General features: G+C 39.2%; 1 protein-coding gene across 3 annotated transcripts in view, besides 1 other annotated feature; it reads left to right on the top strand.

Moving 5' to 3' along the window:
- Positions 1–21,157, top strand: part of AMMECR1 (AMMECR nuclear protein 1) — a 246,048-nt gene that overhangs the window by 191,680 nt on the left and 33,211 nt on the right. The gene's annotated exons all lie outside the window — the stretch shown is intronic.
- Positions 2,990–3,539: an enhancer, noted in NCBI's record as "NANOG hESC enhancer chrX:109488243-109488792 (GRCh37/hg19 assembly coordinates)". NCBI's record gives its function as "activates a minimal SCP1, AML or CMV promoter by ChIP-STARR-seq in naive H9 embryonic stem cells {active_cell/tissue: H9 hESC(naive)}" and the evidence as "EXISTENCE:reporter gene assay evidence [ECO:0000049][PMID:30033119]".

The following is a 21,157-nucleotide window of genomic DNA, read 5'->3' as shown; positions in this document are numbered from 1 at the left end:
AGACAAATATATCCGTGACTGGTATCAGGAAGGAATTGAAAGTATGTAGTCGTGGACTGTGTCCATCTTATTGAACTTAGATTTCTTACAATAGTAAGGTTTAAAAAAACAATAAAATTCTCCAGATTGTATTTTTTTCTTTTCTTTTCTTTTCTTTTCTTTTTTTTTGAGACAGGATCTCGCTCTGTCACCCAAGATGGAGTACAGTAGTGCAATCACAGCTCATTGCAGCCTCAACCTCCCAGGCTCAAGGAATTCTCTCACCTCAGCCACCCATGTGGCTGGTACTACAGGTGCATACCACTATACCCAGCAAAATTTTTATAATTTTTGTAGAGACAGGGTTTCGCCATGTTGCCCAGGCTGGTCTCAAACTCTAGGCTCAAGTGATCTGCCCACCTCAGCCTCAAAAAGTGCTGGGATTTCAGGTGTGAGCCACCACGGCCAGCCTCAGATTGTGTCTTTTTCTTACCACAGCTGGGATTTGAGGATCTCAGTATTTAAAAGGCAAAGAAGATTTTTAGAATGTGCTTTCTGTAGTATACAAGTATTTTATGATGCATTCTTTTAAAATTCTGTGGCAAACAATAGTGAAAACTTTAGAATCATAGGCATCATTCATTATCTTCTATTTTGCTCCTGAACCATTTAAAAACTTTTCTTTGTCTGAAACAAGTATTATTGGAAACCTGTTATCAGGATAGGTATTTTTAAATTTGACAGTGAAAATATCTTTCAAACTTGTTTTCATATACTGCCTGTTAATAATAATGAAATTAATGAATTAATAGCCAGGTTGGTTGGGACATTGTCCATGTCACACGTGTTTCTTTCTTTCGTTTTTGTTTGTTTTTTTTTTTTTGAGACAGGGTTTCACTCCTGTTGCCTAGGCTGGAGTGCAGTGGTGCCCTCTGGGCGCACTGCAACCTGTGCCTCCAGGGCTCGAGTGATTCTCCTACCTCAGCCACCCAAGTAGCTGGGATTACAGGTGCAAGCCACCATGCCTGGCTAATTTTTGTATTTTTTGTAGAGACGGGGTTTCACCATGTTGTCCAGGCTGGTCTTCAACTCCTGGGTTCAAGTGATCTGCCCACCTCGGCCTCCCAACGTGTTGGGATTACAGGTGTAAGCCACCACACATGGCCAATTTTTGTATTTTTTGTAGAGACGGGGTTTCACCATGTTGCCCAAGGTGGTCTCAATCACCTAGGCTCAAGCTATCCACCTGGCTTGGCCTCCTAAAGTGCTGGGATTACAGGAGTGAGCTATCATGCGCAGTGCTGGGATTACAGGAGTGAGCTATCATGCGCAGCCCATGTCACGTGTTTCCTAATAGGTTTTCAAAGAATTTTGCCACAGTAAGAAGTTTTTATTTCACATATTCAAGTCCCACATACCTGATCATGGCAAAATGGCAAATTAATGATGTAGTTGAAGAGAAACCAGCAAAGAGCTGTAGATGCTAGCTCAGAAATGAGTAACATTTTTAGTCTTTGGGATGTCAGTGATGGTGCACAGTGTATTTAAGTGTCATTTTTGTCATAAGCCAGAGAAGCAGGAGGAAAGAGTAATGGGACATGGTAAAGCAGAAATTCTGCTAAGTAGCTGAATGTTAGAGTTGATTGCTGCTATTCTGTTTCTTGCCTATAGTGTAGCCCATTTTAAGTTCAAGACTAAGAAAACCCTCCAAAAAGTTTAAAAAATTCAAAGCAAATAAACTAGTAAATGCTCATGGCTCTACACTTTTACACTGCAGATTTCTTCTATTTCCCAAAGGACTCACCCAGTGATGTTTCCTAACTCCCCAGAGTTACTGTTTCTTCCCTTGTATGTTCATAACACATTACTGGTATCTCTGTTACAGCACTTGCTTTATCTTGCCTTCCAATGTAGTTTCTTACATGATTGTCTTTCCTACTTAGATTGGTAGTCCCTTGAGGACCTGAACTATATTTTTCACATCTTTGCATCCCCTAAGTAGCTATGAGGGATTAGGCATAGAGCAAAATAAATGTTTGAATAGGAGAGTCATTTCCCCTAGTATACTGAGGTATTTGTTTACTAGCTGGGTAAGATAATTAAAGAAAGTGTTAGGAGCCACAGCCTATGCAAAGGAAGTGAGAAATGAAGATTAAAGCATCTCTGAAAGTATAAGTCATAGGAAAATAAAATTAATTTGCAAAGGTGATTTACTTTTATTTTTAGGAATGGTGAGATGTATCTGCATTTTGTTTTCTATTTATAGTTTTAAATCAAGGAAATTTTTACTCACTTGTTTTATAACTGGATCAGTTTTCATTTAATAAAGGATAGGAACACTCAATTCTTATGGGATATTTAGATATTCTAATCACACCTATTAAGTTGTGCTATTATAAAAATGAAACAGTTGAAATACAAGTTTAAGATGTGCTCCCATGGAAGAATCTATATGTACTAATTGTACAAATGAGATGAGAAACAGAAATAGCCTGGGGAAAAGAAATGGGGATGCTATTTAACATCCTATATATTACTTCTAGCAGACAATTGCAATTTACAATCACTTTATAAGAAGAGGTGCCATGAGGGCTGCTTATTAAAATTGTTTTATGAAGGACATTTTATTCACAGTAGCACTACTGTCCATATATTATTTTTAAATCCCTACGAGAGAGATGGTCATTTTTGTGAAGTTTCGGTTGTAGTTCCTGGTCCTACAAAGGTTTAGTGAGTGAGTGATGGCTTGTCAGAAATGATCTTTCTGTGATGGCTGAAAACTTTGGGAGGACCAAAGTTTCAGGTGAGCAATCCTAGGTCATAGCTTCACATCCTGCCATTTATTATCTAGTTAATTATGCTTGATTCTGCTTGATACAAAAATAAAATTTGCATTCAACAAACAAAACAGTACCTCACCTCTTTTTCACAAAGAAGAAGATTTGGGCTAGAGATTGGGAGATTTTGTATTTAGCAAATTTTTAAAAGTCCTTTTGAGATGTGTCTTCTAAGGGCTTTTGTTTGCTATCATTAACTGTGGGAATATTTGCTCCTGAATGGATCCCACCTTATGCTGAGCCCAGCTTCCCTTGTCATTCCCCCTGCAATAAATACTATACAATAAGTGTCTATGTAACAAATAAACAGTTTGGAGGTTAAATGGAATGCTCAATATAATAAAGCTCCATTGCAGTAGGGAGAAAAGTCCTTTTGATATGCATTTGATAGGAATGTGTTAATTTCAACAAAACATCTGGTATAAAAGAGTTGTGAATGCAGGACATTTGAGGGGGTTACAGAAGGAGAAGGGATTTACTGTGCTTAACAATTGCCAGTAGTCAGGCCACTTCCAAGTTGTGATTTTGTCAGACTTAGAAATTAAGTGGGATCACATCTACTCAGCCCTTCAGTGGGAGAAGATCCAAATCCAGCTGCAGCAAGGAGCAGTGACTGATTCAGAAGTAGTGAGCTCTATCCAGTGTCTCCTAGCTGGTTTTCATTAATATGCTTACTATTGCCCTCTTTATATTCTGGCTTTTTAAAAAAATATGGCCTTTGTGGTTTATTGGTTGAACTTGTACAGCTGAATCTACTGTAAAAGGTCTTTTTTCACTGGCATTATGTCCTACAGATTTGAGTGTTCTTGCTGTTCTATATAAGATAATTCAAACTTAGAATAGTCACTATAGTTTCAAAGCTTGATTGAAAGATACATTCAGTGTTTTCTCTAAATATGTAGCAATTATAACAACACAGCTGTAGTTAAATACATAACTTATTATAAATCCTGACAGTCTTCCTTCTCATTTATATCAGGCTGACATAAGGTTTAGTCAGTTCAATTCCACATTTATCGAGCACTTAACTCTGACCATGGTACTGTACTAGGTACTATGCAGCTACAAAGATCAACAGTACATGATGTCTGTGCTCAAGAGCTGAGTGATGTCTTTTGAGGGAAATTGGCATGTACACAAAATAACTGCATTAGATGTAGAAACAATGCTACTGGAAGTGGGAGAAATTAGCTCTAGTTGGATAGATTGGGGAAGGTTTTACTGACTAGCTGACATGTAAGCCGAACCTCTATGGACATATACGACTCAATTTCAACATTCAAAAGTGGGGATATGGAGAAGATATTCATTATGCATCCAGAAAACTTCCTGAGCCAAATGTAAGGAGACAGAGAAATATATATGAGAAGAGAAATATATACAAGCAGCCCAAGTTACATCCCTGACTATTACTATTACCCTGACTCGGGCTGCTTGTATTAATATATAGGATGGAATGGAAAGGATAGAGATTAGAGAAGCAGTTATGAAGCTAATCTTAAATATTCCAAATGAAAGATGGTAGAGGCCTGAATTAGGTTAGTAACAGGAGGGATGTAAAGAAACATATAACAGAGACAAGGTAGTAATTGAACAAGATGAGACTTGTGGAAAGTAAGCTAAAGGGAAGAGTTGAAGATGGCTTCAAAGGTTCCTTCTTAGATGATGGGGCAGGGGGAGGATGATAAGATGAAAGGTGATAGGCAACACAAGACAAGAAGCACATTTGACACATTGTTTGTTAAAGAGTCATTTTTAATGTGAAAGTAATTTTTAATTAATCCTAGATTATCTTTTTCTGAATTTGAATGTTGAAGATTTTTTAAAATTAAGAATTTATTGAAAATTGTTTGCTTTCAGGATATGGTAGTGAGAGTGAAATAGAGTAATACATTATTATACATTGTATCTTATTAAATATTTTATTTAAAATTAAAATAAATAAAATAGTTGGAAAAGACCCTTGATATCATTATTTTCTCTTAGGCCATGCCACAAAGCAAAGCTTAGAAAATACAGCTGAATCCTCAAACTTCTTTCTAACCAAAAATACATTTTGTGGATAAGAAATCTATAAAGAAATAAATGTTTGTAAACATTGGGCGGTTGTTATGGAATTTAAATATCTGTTCTTATTACCTAAGAATGTCTGGGTTTCAAGGCTGAATTAAAATAGATTCCAGGCATCTTTAAAGGTAAACAACACATCTGTTGATTTGTCTAGTACAATGGAAACTGACTGAATTTTGATTATGATAAAAATCAGCATCTTCCATCTATTTAGCAATACTTTTGGGTAATCTTTTCTCCTTTGGGGAATTTTCCAGATGTTTGGGAATATGATTCCAATTTACAAGAGTTGTTTTTATATTGTAGCTGAGTGATGTCCTAACTATGAAACTCTTAGGTTGGTGTAACTGTATCCAAAGGGTCCTCTGCAATGTGTGTAGGAATGCCCTGTGACACCTTGGCTTCTTTGACTTGCCCAGACTCTCAAAGCTAGGTGGCTGGAAGGTTTCCTGGAGGCAGAGTCCAGTTCTCATTGTAGTAATTTACATTAACAAAGGAATTAACATTTCCAGCTATCTTCTGGGATCACTCAGTTTTGAGCAACATTCATATAATGCAGTGAAAATGAATAGCTAGTACCACAAAACAATTTAGATGGTTCCTTTGGTACAGACGTTGACTTGTATTTTCTGAAAGGAAGAGAAGCTCTGAAATTCAGTGAAAATGACAGGGCGGTTGCTATTGTACACATTATTAGAAAGAACCATTTCAAATAACAATTGTAAACATGTATTTTAATGCTAATATACTGTAATAGCCTAGCATTGAGTAGTGAAACAATTTCAGACAAGTGTCCAAATTGTTTTATGACTACATTTATTTCTTAGTATTTATTTAGAAAATTAGTAGTCAATGCTTAGTTTTATCCCAGTATGGATTATAACTTGTATAATATTCTATAGAAAAATGTTACCTAACTGGAATAACTCAGAGCTGCCTCCCTCTGCCCCAGCAGTTGGTTTGTGCCCTATGTTTGCTGATTACCTTAAATATTTGCCCAAGTCAAGCCATAATTTAAAAAGCAAAATTCTCATTTAAAGAGTCACAAGCTTAGGGTGTCAAGTTGTAGATGAGTTTGGACTTGTGGGCCCTCTTGTTCCTCCTGATTAACACTGATGATACAGAGATGACAAATATGATTAACCCAGCATATAAAGAGACATAACATCTTAAAAGAGAGGAGAGATTTTTGGTGACTTTCTTGGCCAATACTATTTTGGAGATTTTTTTCCCATACGAAACTTACTGGCTAGCATTTCACTTTTGTTGGAACATTGACCTATGATTATTTTATTCAGTATTCTTGCATAGGCCTTTGAAAGGATACCTATCAATTTTATTGTACCAAATGTTCTTAAGAAAACACATTTGGTAGTTCTGATATTTTGAAGGTTTCTATAGAAACAAGAAATCTTACAGCCATTTTTTTTATATTGTTGCTCTGATTTACAATTCTGTATATGTAAAGGAGGAGTCTTATCACCTCAAACCAAGCAAAATTTGTAGAGCACCGATGATGTGCAAGTTTTGTGTCTTACAGTAAGGGAAACCTGTACAAATCCAGGAGCTTACAATATAATTAGAGTAGCTAGGCTCTCTTTGTGACAAGGTAACTAAGACTCCTAGGCAGTGAGCCATGCTTGCAGAGGGAGTGGTTGTGGAGAGCTGGAAGACTGCCCTGTGCTAGTGAAGTGAGAGCCAGTATAGATGTGTGAGGAGTAACAACCTCCAGGAATGCTTCCTTTGGACAATGATGCTACTTTGTTGGGTTTGCATTAGATATTTATTTCATAATGATTATATGTTTAGTACTTAACTTACAGGTTTCCAAAGAATTTTAGCTGTTGTTTTGGCTTTTTATTATGTTTGTTTTTTTTGTGTGTCGGTCTATAACCTCAGGGGCATAAGCCTTTTTTCCCTTCCCCCTATTTTACAGCTAGATGTACCCCCAAGGTATCTACATTAGGTATTTCTCCTAATGCTATCCCTCCCCTAGGCCCCCACCCCCCGACAGGCCCTGGTGTGTGATGTTCCCCTCTCTGTGTCCATGTGTTCTCATTGTTCAACTCCTACATGTGAGTGAGAACATGCAGTGTTTGGTTTTCTGTTCCTGTGTTAGTTTGCTGACAATGATGGTTTCCAGTTTTGGGCGGGTGTATGTGTCCAGGAATTTATCCATTTCTTCTAGATTTTCTAGTTTACGTGCGTAGAGGTGTTTATAGTATTTTCTGATGTTAGATTGTATTTCTGTGAGATAAGTGGTGATCTCCCTTTTATAATTTTTTATTGTGTCTGTTTGATCCTTCTCTCTTTTCTTCTTTATTAGTCTGGCTAGCGGTCTATCTACTTTGTTAATCTTTTCAAAAAAACAGCTCCTGAATTCACTGATTTTTTTTTGAAGAGTTTTTCATGTCTCTATCTCCTTCAGTTCTGCTCTGATCTTAGTTATTTCTTATCTTCTGCTAGCTTTTGAATTTGTTTGCTCTTGCTTCTCTAGTTCTTTTAATTGTGATGTTGGGGTGTCAATTTTAGATCTTTCCTGCTTTCTCCTGTGGGCATTTAGCGCTATAAATTTCCCTCTAAACACTGCTTTAGCTGTGTCCCAAAGATTCTGGTACATTGTGTCTTTGTTCTCATTGGTTTCCAAGAACGTATTTATTTATTTCCACCTTAATTTCGTTATTTACCCAGTAGTCATTCAGGAGCAGGTTGTTCAGTTTCCATGTAGTTGTATGGTTTTGAGTGAGTTTCTTAATCCTGAGTTCTAATTTGACTGCAGTGTGGTTGGAGAGACTGTTTGTTATGATTTCTGCTCTTTTGCATTTGCTGAGGGGTGTTTTACTTCCAATTATGTGGTCAATTTTAGAATAAGTGCTATGTGGTGCTGAGAAGAATGTATATTCTGTTGATTTGGGGTGGAGAGTTCTGTAGATGTCTATTAGGTTCCGTTGGTCCAGAGCTGAGCTCAAGTCCTGAATATCTCTGTTAATTTTCTGTCTTGTTGATCCAATATTGACAGTGAGGTGTTAAAGTCTCCCACTATTATTGTGTGGGAGTCTAAGTCTCTTTGTAGGTCTCTAAGGACTTGCTTTATGAATCTCGGTGGTCCTGTATTGGGTGCATATATATTTAGGATAGTTAGCTCTTCTTGTTGCATTGATCCCTTTACCATTATGTAATGCCCTTATTTGTCTTTTTTTTTTAATCTTTGTTGGTTTAAAGTCTGTTTTATCAGAGACTAGGATTGCAAACCCTCCCCCCCCCGTTTTTGTTTTTTTTTTTTTGCTTTCCATTTGCTTGGTAAATATTCCTCCATACCTTTATTTGAGCCCATGTGTGTCTTAGCATGTTAGATGTGTCTCGTGAATACAGCACACCAATGATTCTTGACTCTTTATCCAATTTGCCAGTCTGTGTCTTTTAATTGGGGCATTTAGCCCATTTACATTTAAGGTTAATATTGTTATGTGTGAGTTTGATCCTGTCATTATGATGCAAGCTGGTTATTTTGCCCGTTAGTTGTTGCAGTTTCTTCATAGTGTCAATGATCTTTACAATTTGGTATGTTTTTGTGGTGGCTGGTACCGGTTTTTCCTTTCCATATTTAGTGCTTCCTTCAGGAGCTCTTGTAAGGCAGGCCTGGTGGTGACAAAATCTCTCAGCATTTGCTTGTCTATAAAGGATTTTATTTCTCCTTTGCTTATGAAGCTTAGTTTGGCTGGATATGAAATTCTGCATTGAAAAATCTTTTCTTTTAGAGTGTTGAATGAATATTGGCCCCCACTCTCTTCTGGCTTGTGGGGTTTCTGCCGAGAGATCCACTGTTAGTCTGATGGGCTTCCCTTTGTGGGTAACCCGACCTTTCTCTCTGGCTGCCCTTAACATTTTTTCCTTCATTTCAACCTTGGTGGATCTGATGATTATGTGTCTTGGGATTCCTCTTCTCGAGGAGTATCTTTGTGGTGGTCTCTGTATTTCCTGAATTTGAATGTTGGCCTGTCTTGCTAGGTTAGGGAAGTTCTCCTGGATAATATCCTGAAGAGTGTTCTGCAACTTGGTTCCATTCTTTCTGTCACTTTCAGGTACACCAATCAAATCAAAAAATATTTGGTCTTTTCATATAGTCCCATATTTCTTGGAGGCTTTGCTCATTCCTTTTCATTCTTTTTTCTCTAATCTTGTCTTCATGCTTTACTTCATTAAGTTGTTCTTTAATCTCTGATATCCTTTCTTCTACTTGATGATTCGGCTATTGATACTTGTGTATGCTTCACGAAGTTCTCATGCTGTGTTTTTCAGCTCCATCAGGTCATTTATGTTCTTCTCTAAACTGGTTATTCTAGTTAGCAATTCCTCTAACTTTTTTTCAAGGTTCTTAGCTTCCTTGCATTGGGTTAGAACATGCTCCTTTATCTTGGAGGAGTTTGTTATTACCCACCTTCTGAAGCCTACTTCTGTCAATTTATCAAATTCATTCTCTGTTGTTTTGTTCCCTTGTTGGCGAGGAGTTGTGATCCTTTGGAGGAGAAGAGGCGTTCTGGTTTTTGGAATTTTCAGCCTTTTTGCGCTGTTTTTTCCTCTTCTTTGTGGATTTATCTAGCTTTGGTCTTTGATATTGGTGACCTTCAGATGGGGTTTTGGTGTGGACATCTTTTTTGTTGATGTTGATGCTTTTCCTTTCTGTTTGTTAGTTTTCCTTTTAACAGTCAGGCCCCTCTGCTGCAGGTCTGGTGGAGTTTGCTGGAGGTCCACTCCAGACCCTGTCTGCCTGGGTATCACCAGCAGAGGCTGCAGAACAGCAAAGATTGCTGCCTGTTCCTTCCCCTGGAAGCTTCATCCCAGAGGGGCACCCGCCAGATGCCAGCTGGAGCTCTCCTGTATGAGGTGTCTGTCGACCCCTGCTGGGAGGTGTCTCCCAGTCAGGAGGCACGGGGGTCAGGGACCCACTTGAGGAGGCAGTCTGTCCCTTAGCAGAGCTCGAGCACTGTGCTGGGAGATCCACTGCTCTCTTCAGAGCTGGCAGCAGGAACATTCAAGTCTGCTGAAGCTGTGCCCACAGCCACCCCTTTCCCCAGGTGCTCTGTCCCAGGGAGATAGGATTTTTATCTGAAAGTCCCTGACTGGGGCTGCTGCCTTTCTTTCAGAGATGCCCTGCCCAGAGAGGAGGAATCTAGAGAGGCAGTCTGGCTACAGAGGCTTTGCTGAGCTGCGGTGGCCTCCACCCAGTTCGAACTTCCTGGCGGCTTTGTTTACACTGTGAGGGGAAAACCGCCTACTCGGCTTGAGCTATATTTCTGATTCAGTTATTAGTGACTGTAAGATTTATACTTAGAGATCTTTGAGCATGACAAAGACTGTAGGTGAGGATCTAGCAACACCAACATGGAAGTAAAAGCTCTCAAATTCACAATAATTGCAGGAAGCCCAGTATACTCAATAAAGAATGAATGAAATATTTATTTAAAAAGTAGTTTTGCTTGTTTTAGTGACACCGATTTGCTTGTGTTAGTGACAACAATAACTCAGAATGGGCTAATGGAGTGTTACCAAGTAGAAGTCCCCCAGAGACCTGCTTTTTAACATACTACACAAAAGATTTGTAATTATGATGTTACAGTGCCTGTAGATGGTTAATTCCAGAATCCTGGAAATAATTTATTCTCTTTAAGCAAGTCCTGTATTTCCCTTACAACCTTAATTATAAAGTTGATTTGCTTAGCAGACCCTTCTTTTCCAAACTTGCTAAGGAAAACTTTCAGTCTAGGTCTGTTTGAATTAGCACAAATTTTGAAATAGTAGAGTTCAAATTAATGAGGTTTTATTCTGTTATGAAGAGCTTGTTTTCCATCATTGATAATTATTTCCAGGAAAGTTAAGTCTGCAGAAAGCATTCTCTCAGTTTCCTTAATGTTGTTTACCAAAGTTTAAGAAGTGGTTTTTAGTTACATGAGGGGAGAGTGAGGACATGGCAGTGGCAAAGGAAAATGAGGTGCTATAACCTGGTCTCTCAGATTTGTGGAGCAGGCTTTGAGCAGCATTCTAAACCAATATTATTCCTTGTAAAAGGCAAACCAGACCTTGGAATTTTAAAGTCTAATGTGATTGAGAGAATGTGTGCTGGTGCATAGTAATACTTTAACCCCCATCAGTCGGGTAAGTTGTAAGAACCTCTTAGGTGACAAATACCCTGACAGCCCCACGAGGCATGCACCATTTCCACCCATTTTCCCTAGAGTCAGCCCTTCTCCCACTAGATAATTCTCATTGCTTCAGAGGGTTGATTTTCAACAAGTCCTCCATCCCCCTAGACTGCTTACTAACCTGAAATCCCACAGAGAACAGGAAGAGTGGCCACTGGATTTTTTTGGAGGATTTAAAAAAATTTGTGTACTAATATCTGATTTTCTTTAGGCCCATGTTCATCTAAAGAGTCCGTTATCTTATGTTTCTTTTTTCTATGCCTGCCCTTGATGTCCTGTGATTCATCCAGTTCATAAGATGTTCCTTTATAAGAAGGTGAGAAAAGCATAAAAATAGACTAGTAATATGGGTCCCTATGTGTTTCAAACTGCAATAAAATATTATTATTAATTGCCCCATATAAGAAGCAATGGAGCTCCTTCAGGATGCAGAGTTTATGTGTGTTTTCCAGGGGGGTGATAGAGGCTGGGAGATCAAAGCAATTCTGTAACTTTATCATGGAATTATGTTTTTATCTATTTATAGCAGTCTATGAGTTTTAGATAGAAAAATGTTGCCAAACTTTGCTGTACTTTGAATGTACAGTAATCTAAAGACTAAAAAGAACAGTTAACACCTTCTAAATGAACAGCATTAAATAAATAAAAACAGGGGAAGACACACTTCAGTGGAACAGTTTAAAAGGATATTTTGAATGTAGGGGAACACTGACCATTTAATAAAGTATAACCAGTAATGCCATTTAATATTTGTTATACTGCCAATAACTTTATTAAATTTGAAACTACCTTCCTATATTCCTTCATTCATTCACTAAATATTTATTTACCAGCTACTGTGTGCTAGGCACTGGGTATATAATGGTGAGTAAAAATGAGCACAGTCACCATACTCATAGAGCTAAAGTTATACCTATAACATATACATGGGGATAAAGAGTCCAAAAGTTAGTTTTTAATTTGGATTTCTATAGGGTTTTGCTTAGCCTGGTAGATTTCTAGAGATAGGCTAGTATCCATGAACTTTAAGAAGTAATAAGACCTTGTGAGTTTAGGTGTCTTCCTCTTTTTTTTTTCTTTTTTTGTTTTTTATTTCTGGAATGTGACTTAGTTTATAAGACTTGCACTTCTCATTAGGTGCTTTGAGTAACTCGTATAATATGGTATTGTAGTGTAGTAAAACTTCAATGAAACAAGGTGTTCCACAGCATTGAAATTGAATGTAGCATGCTCCTGGATGTATACTCGTGCTTGGCACATAGCAGGCACTCAATACATATTTGTTGAAATAGTTCATGTTCATAGTTATGCCCTCATATCAGTAATCATTAGGACTGCTACTTATTCGTGAAAAGTTTTGTCACTATGGGGAGCAGAGCTGTTATCACATGACTGTAATTTAAATTGCATAGATTTTATCCATTGCCCTTTTCTCTTTTCTTTTTTTTTTCTAGTCCTAACTGCTAGAAATATTACCCCTGAAGGTATTTGTTTTCTTTTTTTTTTATTATACTTTAAGTTCTAGGGTACGTCTGCACAACGTGCAGGTTTGATACATAGGTATATATGTGCCATGTTGGTTTGCTGCACCATCAACTCATCATTTGCATTAGGTATTTCTCGTAATGCTATCCCTCTGCCAGCCCCCAACCCCACAACAGGCCCTGGTGTGTGATGTCCCGCACCCTGTGTCCAAGTGATCTCATTGTTCAATTCCCATCTATGAGTAAAAACATGTGGTGTTTGGTTTCCTGTCCTTGTGATAGTTTGCTGAGAATGATGGTTTCCAACTTCATCCATGTCCCTGCAAAGGACATGAACTCATCCCTTTTTATGGCTGCATAGTACTCCATGGTGTATATGTGCCACATTTTCTTAATCCAGTCTATCAGTGATGGACATTTAGGTTGGTTCCAAGTCTTTGCTATTGTGAATAGTGCTGCAATAAATATACTTGTGCATGATTTATAATCCTTTGGGTATATACCCAGTAATGGGATGGCTGGGTCAAATGGTAATTCTAGTTCTAGATCCTTGAGGAATCTCCACACTGTCTTCCACAATGGTTGAACCAATTTATACTCCCACCAACAGTGTAAAAGCATTCCTATTTCTCCACATCGTCTCCAGCATCTGCTGTTTCCTGACTTTTTAATGATTGCCATTCTAACTGGTGTAAGATGGTATCTCATTGTGGTTTTGATTTGCATTTCTCTGATGACCAGTGATGATAAGCATTTTTTCATGTGTCTGTTGGCTGCATAAATGTCTTCTTTTGAGAAGTGTCTGTTCATATCCTTTGCCCACCCTTCGACAGGGTGGTTTTTTTCTTGTTAATTTGTTTAAGTTCTTTGTAGATTCTGGATATTAATTAGCCCTTTGTCAGATGAGTAGATTGCAAAAATTTTCTCCCATTCTGTAGGTTGCCTGTTCACGCTGATGCCAGTTTCTTTTGCCATGCAGAAGCTCGTTAGTTTAATTAGATCCCATTTGTCTATTTTGGCTTTTGTTGCCATTGCTTTTGATGTTCTAGTCATGAAGTCCTTGCCCATGCCTATGTCCTGAATGGTATTGCATAGGTTTTCTTCTAGGGTTTTTATGGTTTCAGGTCTAACATTTAAGTCTTTAATCCATCTTGAATTAATTTTTGTATAAGGTGTAAGGAAGGGATCCAGTTTCAGCTCTCTACATATGGCTAGCCAGTTTTCCCAGCACCATTTATTAAATAGGGAATCCTTTCCCTATTTCTTGTTTTTGTCAGGTTTGTCAAAGATCAGATGGTTGTAGATGTGTGGCATTATTTCTGAGGGCTCTGTTGTGTTCCATTGGTCTATATCTCTGTTTTGGTACCAGTACCATGCTGTTTTGGTTACTATAGCCTTGCAGTATAGTTTGAAGTCAGGAAGTGTGATGCCTCCAGCTTTGTTCTTTTGGCTTAGGATTGTCTTGGCAATGCAGGCTCTTTTTTGGTTCCATATGAACTTTAAAGTAGTTTTTTTCCAGTTCTGTGAAGAAAGTCATTGGTAGCTTGATGGGGATGGCATTGAATCTATAAATTACTTTGGGCAGTATGGCCATTTTCACGATATCGATTCTTTCTATCCATGAGCATAGAATATTCTTCCATTTGTTTGTGTCCTCTTTTATTTCGTTGAGCAGTGGTTTGTAATTCTCCTTGAAGAGGTCCTTCACATCCCTTCTAAGTTGGATTCCTAGGTATTTTATTCTCTTTGTAGCAATTGTGAATGGGAGTTCACTCATGATTTGGCTCTCTGTTTGTCTGTTATTGGTATATAGGAATGCTTGTGATTTTTGCACATTGATTTTGTATCCTGAGACTTTGCTGAAGTTGCTTATCAGCTTAAGGAGATTTTGGGCTGAGACAGTGGGGTTTTCTAAATATACAACCATGTCATCTGCAAACAGGGACAATTTGACTTCTTCTTTTCCTAATTGAATACCTTTATTTCTTTCTCTTGCCTGATTGCCCTAGCCAGAACTTCCAACACTATGTTGAATAGGAGTGGTGAGAGAGTGCATCCTTGTCTTCTGCCAGTTTTCAAAGGAATGCTTCCAGTTTTTGCCCATTCATTATGATATTGGCTGTGGGTTTGTCATAAATAGCTCTTACTATTTTGAGATACGTTCCATCAATACCTAATTTATTGAGAGTTTTTAGCATGAAGGGTTGTTGAGTTTTGTCGAAGGCCTTTTCTGCATCTTTTGAGATAATCGTGTTTTTTGTCATTGGTTCTGTTTATGTAATGGATTACGTTTATTGATTTGCATATGTTGAACCAGCCTTGCATCTCAGGGATGAAGCCAACTTGGTCGTGGTGGATAAGCTTTTTGATGTGCTACTGGATTCGGTTTGCCAGTATTTTATTGAGGATTTTTGCATTGATGTTCATCAAGGATATTGGTCTAAAATTCTCTTTTTTGTTGCGTCTCTGCCAGGCTTTGGTATCCGGATGATGTTGACCGCATAAGATGAGTTAGGGAGGATTCCCTCTTTTTCTATTGATTGGCATAGTTTCAGAAGGATTGGTACCAGCTCCTCTTTGTACGTCTGGTAGAATTCAGCTGTGAATTCATCTGGTCCTGGACTTTTTTTGGTTGGTAAGCTATTAATTATTGCCTCAATTTCAGAGCCTGTTATTGGTCTATTCAGACATTCAAATTCTTCCTGGTTTAGTCTTGGGAGAGTGTGTGTGTCCAGGAATTTATCCATTTCTTCTAGATTTTCTAGTTAATTTGCATAGAGGTTTTTATAGTATTCTCTGATAGTAGTTTGTATTTCTGTGGGATCGGTGGTGATATCCCCTTGATCATTTCTTCTTGCGTCTATTTGATTCTTCTCTCTCTTCTTATTAGTCTTGCTAGCGGTCTATCAGTTTTGTTGATCTTTTCACAAAACTAGCTCCTGGATTCATTGATTTTTTTGAAGGGGTTTTTTTGTGTGTCTCTCTCTCTTTCAGTTCTGCTCTGATCTTAGTTATTTCTTGCCTTTTGTTAGCTTTTGAATTGGTTTGCTCTTGCTTCTCTAGTTCTTTTTTTTTTTTTTTTTTTTTTTTTTTTGAGACTGAGTCTGGCTCTGTCACCCAGGCTGGAGTGCAATGGCGCGATCTCAGCTCATTGCAAGCTCCGCCTCCCGGGTTCACGCCATTCTCCTGCCTCAGCCTCCCAAGTAGCTGGGACTACAGGCGCCCACCACCATGCCCGGCTAATTTTTTGTATTTTTAGTAGAGATGGGGTTTCACCGTGTTAGCCGGGATGGTCTCGATCTCCTGACCTTGTGATCTGCCCACCTTGGCCTCCCAAAGTGCTGGGATTACAGGCATGAGCCACGGTGCCCAGCTAGTTCTTTTAATTGTGATGTTAGGGTGTCGATTTTAGATCTTTCCTGCTTTCTCTTGTGGGCATTTAGTGCTATAAATTTCCCTCTACACACTGCTTTAAATGTGTCCCAGAGATTCCGGTACGTTGTGTCTTTGTTCTCATTGGTTTCAAAGAACATTTTTATTTCTGCCTTCATTTAGTTATTTACCCAGTAGTCATTCAGGAGCAAGTTGTTCAGTTTCCATGTACTTATGTGGTATTGAGTGAGTTTCTTAATCCTGAGTTCTAGTTTGATTGCACTGTGGTCTGAGAGACAGTTTGTTGTGATTTCTGTTCTTTTACATTTGCTGAGGAGTGCTTTACTTCCAAGTATGTGGTCAGTTTTAGAATAAGTGTGATGTAGTGCTGAGAAGAATGTATATTCTGTTGATTTGGGGTGGAGAGTCCTGTAGATGTCTCTTAGGTCTGCTTGTTGCAGAGTCAAATTCAGGTCCTGGGTATCCTTGTTAACCTTCTGTCTCGTTGATCTGTCAAATATTGACAATGGGGTGTTAAAGTCTCCCATTATTATTGTGTGGGAGTCTAAGTTTCTCTGTGGGTCTCTAAGGACTTCATTTATGAATCTGGGTGCTCCTGTATTGGGTGCATATATATTTAGGATAGTTAGCTCTTCTTGTTGCATTGATCCCTTTACCATTATGTAATGGCCTTTTTTGTCTCTTTTGATCTTTGTTGGTTTAAAATCTGATTTATCAGAGACTAGGATTGCAACCCCTGCTTTTTTTTGCTTTCTGTTTGCTTGGTAGATCTTCCTCCATCCCTTTATTTTGAGCCTGTATGCGTCTTTGCATATGAGATGGGTCTCCTGAATACAGCACACTGATGGGTCTTGACTCTTTATCCAACTTGCCAGTCTGTGTCTTTTAATTGGGGTATTTAGCCCATTTACATTTAAGGTTAATATTGTTATGTGTGAATTTGACCCTGTCATTATGATGTTTGCTGGTTATTTTGCCTGTTAATTGATGCAGTTTCTTCTTAGCATCGATGGTCTTTACAATTTGGCATGTTTTTGCAGTGGCTGGTACCAGTTGTTTCTTTCCACGTTTAGTGCTTCCTTCAGGAGCTCTTGTAAGACAGGCCTGGTGGTGACAAAATCTGTCAGCATTTGCTTATCTGTAAAGGATTTTATTTCTCCTTCACTTATGAAGTTTAGTTTGGCTGGATATGAAATTCTGGGTTGAAAATTCTTTTCTTTAAGAATGTTGAATATTGGCCCCCACTCTCTTCTGTCTTGTAGCGTTTCAGCTGAGAGATCCGCTGTTCCCTTTGTGGGTAACTGGACCTTTCTCTCTGGCTGCCCTTAACACTTTTTGCTTCATTTCAACCTTGGTGAATCTGACAATTATGTGTCTTGGGGTTGCTCTTCTCGAGGAGTATCTTTGTGGCGTTCTCTGTATTTCCTGAATTTGAATGTTGGCCTGCCTTGCTAGGTTGGGGAAGTTCTCCTGGATAATATCCTGAAGCATATTTTCCAACTTGGTTCCATTCTCCCCATCACTTTCAGGTACACCAATCACACGTAGATTTGGTCTTTTGACATAGTCCCATATTTCTTGGAGGCTTTGTTTGTTTCTTACTTTTTTATCTCTAACCTTGTCTTCTCGCTTTACTTCATTAATTTGATCTTCAATCACTGATACCCTTTCTTCCACTTGATTGAATCGGCTCTTGAAGCTTGAGCATGTGTCACGAAGTTCTCGTGCCATGGTTTTCAGCTCCATCATGTCACTTAAGGTCTTCTCTACACTGTTTATTCTAGTTAGCCATTTGTCTAATCTTTTTTCAAGGTTTTTAGCTTCCTTGCGATGAGTTTGAACATCCTCCTTCAGCTCGTAGAAGTTTGTTGTTACCGACCTTCTGAAGCCTACTTCTGTCAACTCGTCAAAGTCATTCTCCGTCCCACTTTGTTCCGTTGCTGGTGAGGAGCTGTGACCCTTTGGAGGAGAAGAGGTGCTCTCATTTTTAGAATTTTCAGCTTTTCTGCTCTGGTTTCTCCCCATCTTTGTGGTTTTATCTATCTTTGGTCTTTGATGTTGGTGACCTGTAGATGTGGTTTTGGTGTAGATGACCTTTTTGCTGATGTTGATGCTATTCCTTTCTGTTTGTTAGTTTTCCTTCTAACAGTCAGGTCCCTCAGCTTCAGGTCTGTTGGAGTTTGCTGGAGTTCCACTCCAGACCCTGTTTGCCTGGGTATCACCAGCGGAGGCTACAGAACAGCAAATATTGCAGAACAGCAAATATTGCTGCGTGATACTTCCTCTGGAAGCTTCGTCCCAGAGGGGCAGCTGCATATATGAGGTATCTGTTGGACCCTACTGGGAGGTGTCTCCCAGTTAGGCTACACGGGGGTCAGGGACCCACTTGAAGAGGCAGTCTGTCTGTTCTCAGATCTCAAACGCTGTGTTGGGAGAACCACTGCTCTCTTCAGAGCTGTCAGACAGGGATGTTTAAGTCTGCAGAAGTTGTCTGCTGCCTTTTCTTCAGCTGTGCCCTGCCCACAGAGGTGGAGTCTAGAGGCAGTAGGCGTTGTTGAGCTGAGGTGGGCTCCGCCCAGTTCGAGCTTCCTGGCTGCTTTGTTTACCTACTCAAGCCTCAGCAATGGCGGATACCCCTCCCCCAGCCAGGCTGCCGCCTCGCAGATGCATCTCAGACTGCTGTGCTAGCAGTAAGCAAGGCTCCGTGGGCGTGGGAGCTGCCGAGCCAGGCACGGGAGAGAATCACCTTGTCTGCCGGTTGCTAAGACCTTGGTAAAAGCATAGTATTTGGGCAGGGAGTGTCCCGCTTTTCCAGGTAGTCTGTCACGGCTTCCCTTGGCTAGGAAAGGGAAATCCCCCAACACCTTGCGCTTCCCGGGTGAGTCAACGCCCCGCCCTGCTTCAGCTCGCCCTCCGTGGGCTGTTCCCACTGTCCAACCAGTCCGAATGAGATGAACCAGGTACCTCAGTTGGAAATGCAGAAATCATCCACCTTCTGCATTGGTCATGCTGGGAGCTGCAGACTGGAGCTGTTCCTGTTCGGCCATCTTGGCAACTCCCATTGCCCTTTTTTCATCCTCAAATGAAGCTATTTCCTTTCTGTATCTATTGTGGTGTTCCTAATATGTAGCATAGTACAGAATCAGCAATTGCCACTATTTCAGCAGCACATTTTGAAGCTTTTCCAACATATTTTATTACCCCATGTGCTTATCTCATGGAAACAAAAGTAAAGTAGGACCTTTTCAATGGGAGAATTAAATAACTTTTAAGGGTAATAGAATGGAAACCTATACAAGTAAAATTTTTCTTTGAAAACTAGGTTCTTAAGATATGACCAGACAAGAGATGAAGAGTTAAAATGTCCTTTTCTGTTTTATCAGGCTAATTTTAAAAATGTTTGTTGAAAGGAGTAAAGTAAAACCTGTTCCAAGTTGAGATTGGAAAGTAGGTTTGCTTAACGTATGAGACTTTAGCAGTACATCAAGAATCACATATTTGACCTGAACTGAATCTACCCATGTCATTGTGCTATTTACTTGAAAACGAATGTTGAGATTATCTTGCCCTGAACAATTTTGTAGTTATACACGCACAACCAGAACATACAGTTGCTTTTACAATAGGGACAGATTCTCTATTTAGAGTTTGATAAAAGAGAACCAAATACTCTATTTTAAAAATGTATAGCCTTTCCCTTGAATAATCCTTTATGTAGCTCAGCAGCTAAGTAGAAATGATGGGACAGAATGGATGAACTGCGAGGTGAGACCAGCCCCTACTAGGAGCGTATAAGCAAGATGAGGAGGGAGTGGAGTGGATAAGAAACGCAGAGGAAGACAATAGTTAAGACTGCATTCTCCACACACACATAGTGTTGGTGCTCCGCTGCTCCCCCACCCTTATCTGCTTAATTTATAAGTTCTGCTTGGCTTCATCATGCTGACACGTGCCAGGTGCCTGTCAGTGCTGAGTTATGTTGGGCAGCTCACTGTTTCACTGTTTTAGCTATTCCCTGGTGCCCTAGGCATCATTTTCCTCTTTGCATCTTGAACATCTGCTCTGGAGTGTTATTGGATTATGTGAAAGAATGATGGAAAGATCAGTGAATTGGGGAAGTCAGGAGATGTCACTGATTTCTAAGTAGTTTTGTGACTTTGGGCATGCAGCTTTTTGCTCTTAGTTATCCCCAAAATCAAATGAAGGATGTAGACTAGATGATCTCTAAGCGCTTCTAGCTGACATTTGCTTGACCCCATGACTTTAGGGGGCCTTGTTCTTGGAGGACACCTATTATGATTTCTAATATAATGTAGTATTAGCTTTGTCTATTTCATGGGGCTGTTTTGAGTTTCAGCTAGGATAAAAGATGTGAAGATGCTTTGGAAACTATTAAGAATCATATAAAACAAAAATGATACGAGTAGTTTAAAAGATTCTTTCCTCCAAAGATACCATATAGTGATAAAAATTAAAGTAATTCCATTTAAATGAATGTGAGGCCAATTACAGAGGCCATAAGAACAGACATGCAGTTATACTTACCATAGAGAAATATGCCATTTAAAAGCACACAGATCAAGGAATGATTCAATAAACATTGATTGATTGGTTAGGCAGCTAGGCTTTGGGGATGAGGTATTCTACTTTTCTTCCTGATCCCCCTTGTGCTTGTCAAGTTTGAAAGAAACAGGCAGTGGATCATGTTCTTTTCTCTGTCACTATCACCCATCCACTCCACGAAAGTTAGAATAGAACATTAAAACCTGTACAGAAGGGAATGGGTCATCTTGACCCAATAGCAGAGTATGAGAACATGAGGCCGCCTTGCATACTGGCTTGTCAGACTTGGCCTCGCCAGCACTAGGTAGCAGTGAAGGCAGCTGCCGTATGCCTTTGTCTTTGTGGTCCTCTTCTCTTCCTCCACCCCCATTCTGTTCTTTCATGTCCTTCTTGTGACCTTTTACTATTCTTTCTTCCTTACCTTACTAGAGTAGAAAAGAGGAGCGCATACAAAAGGTGGGGAAAAGGAAGAAGAGAAAGGAAAATAAAGATTAAAAACTTTACAATGAGGTAGTGGGGAAGGTTGGGCTCCTCTCTTTCTCTTTCTCCTTCTCAGTATGACGGACTTGATAATTTTACTTTGTACCTCATCTTTAAGTTTGACTTCATTCTTTTCTTTAGTTACCTTTAG

Source organism: Homo sapiens, chromosome X (genome assembly GCF_000001405.40).
Source record: "Homo sapiens chromosome X, GRCh38.p14 Primary Assembly".
Classification (NCBI taxonomy): Eukaryota; Metazoa; Chordata; class Mammalia; order Primates; family Hominidae; genus Homo; species Homo sapiens.
This window is presented reverse-complemented; position numbering and strand designations above follow the sequence as displayed.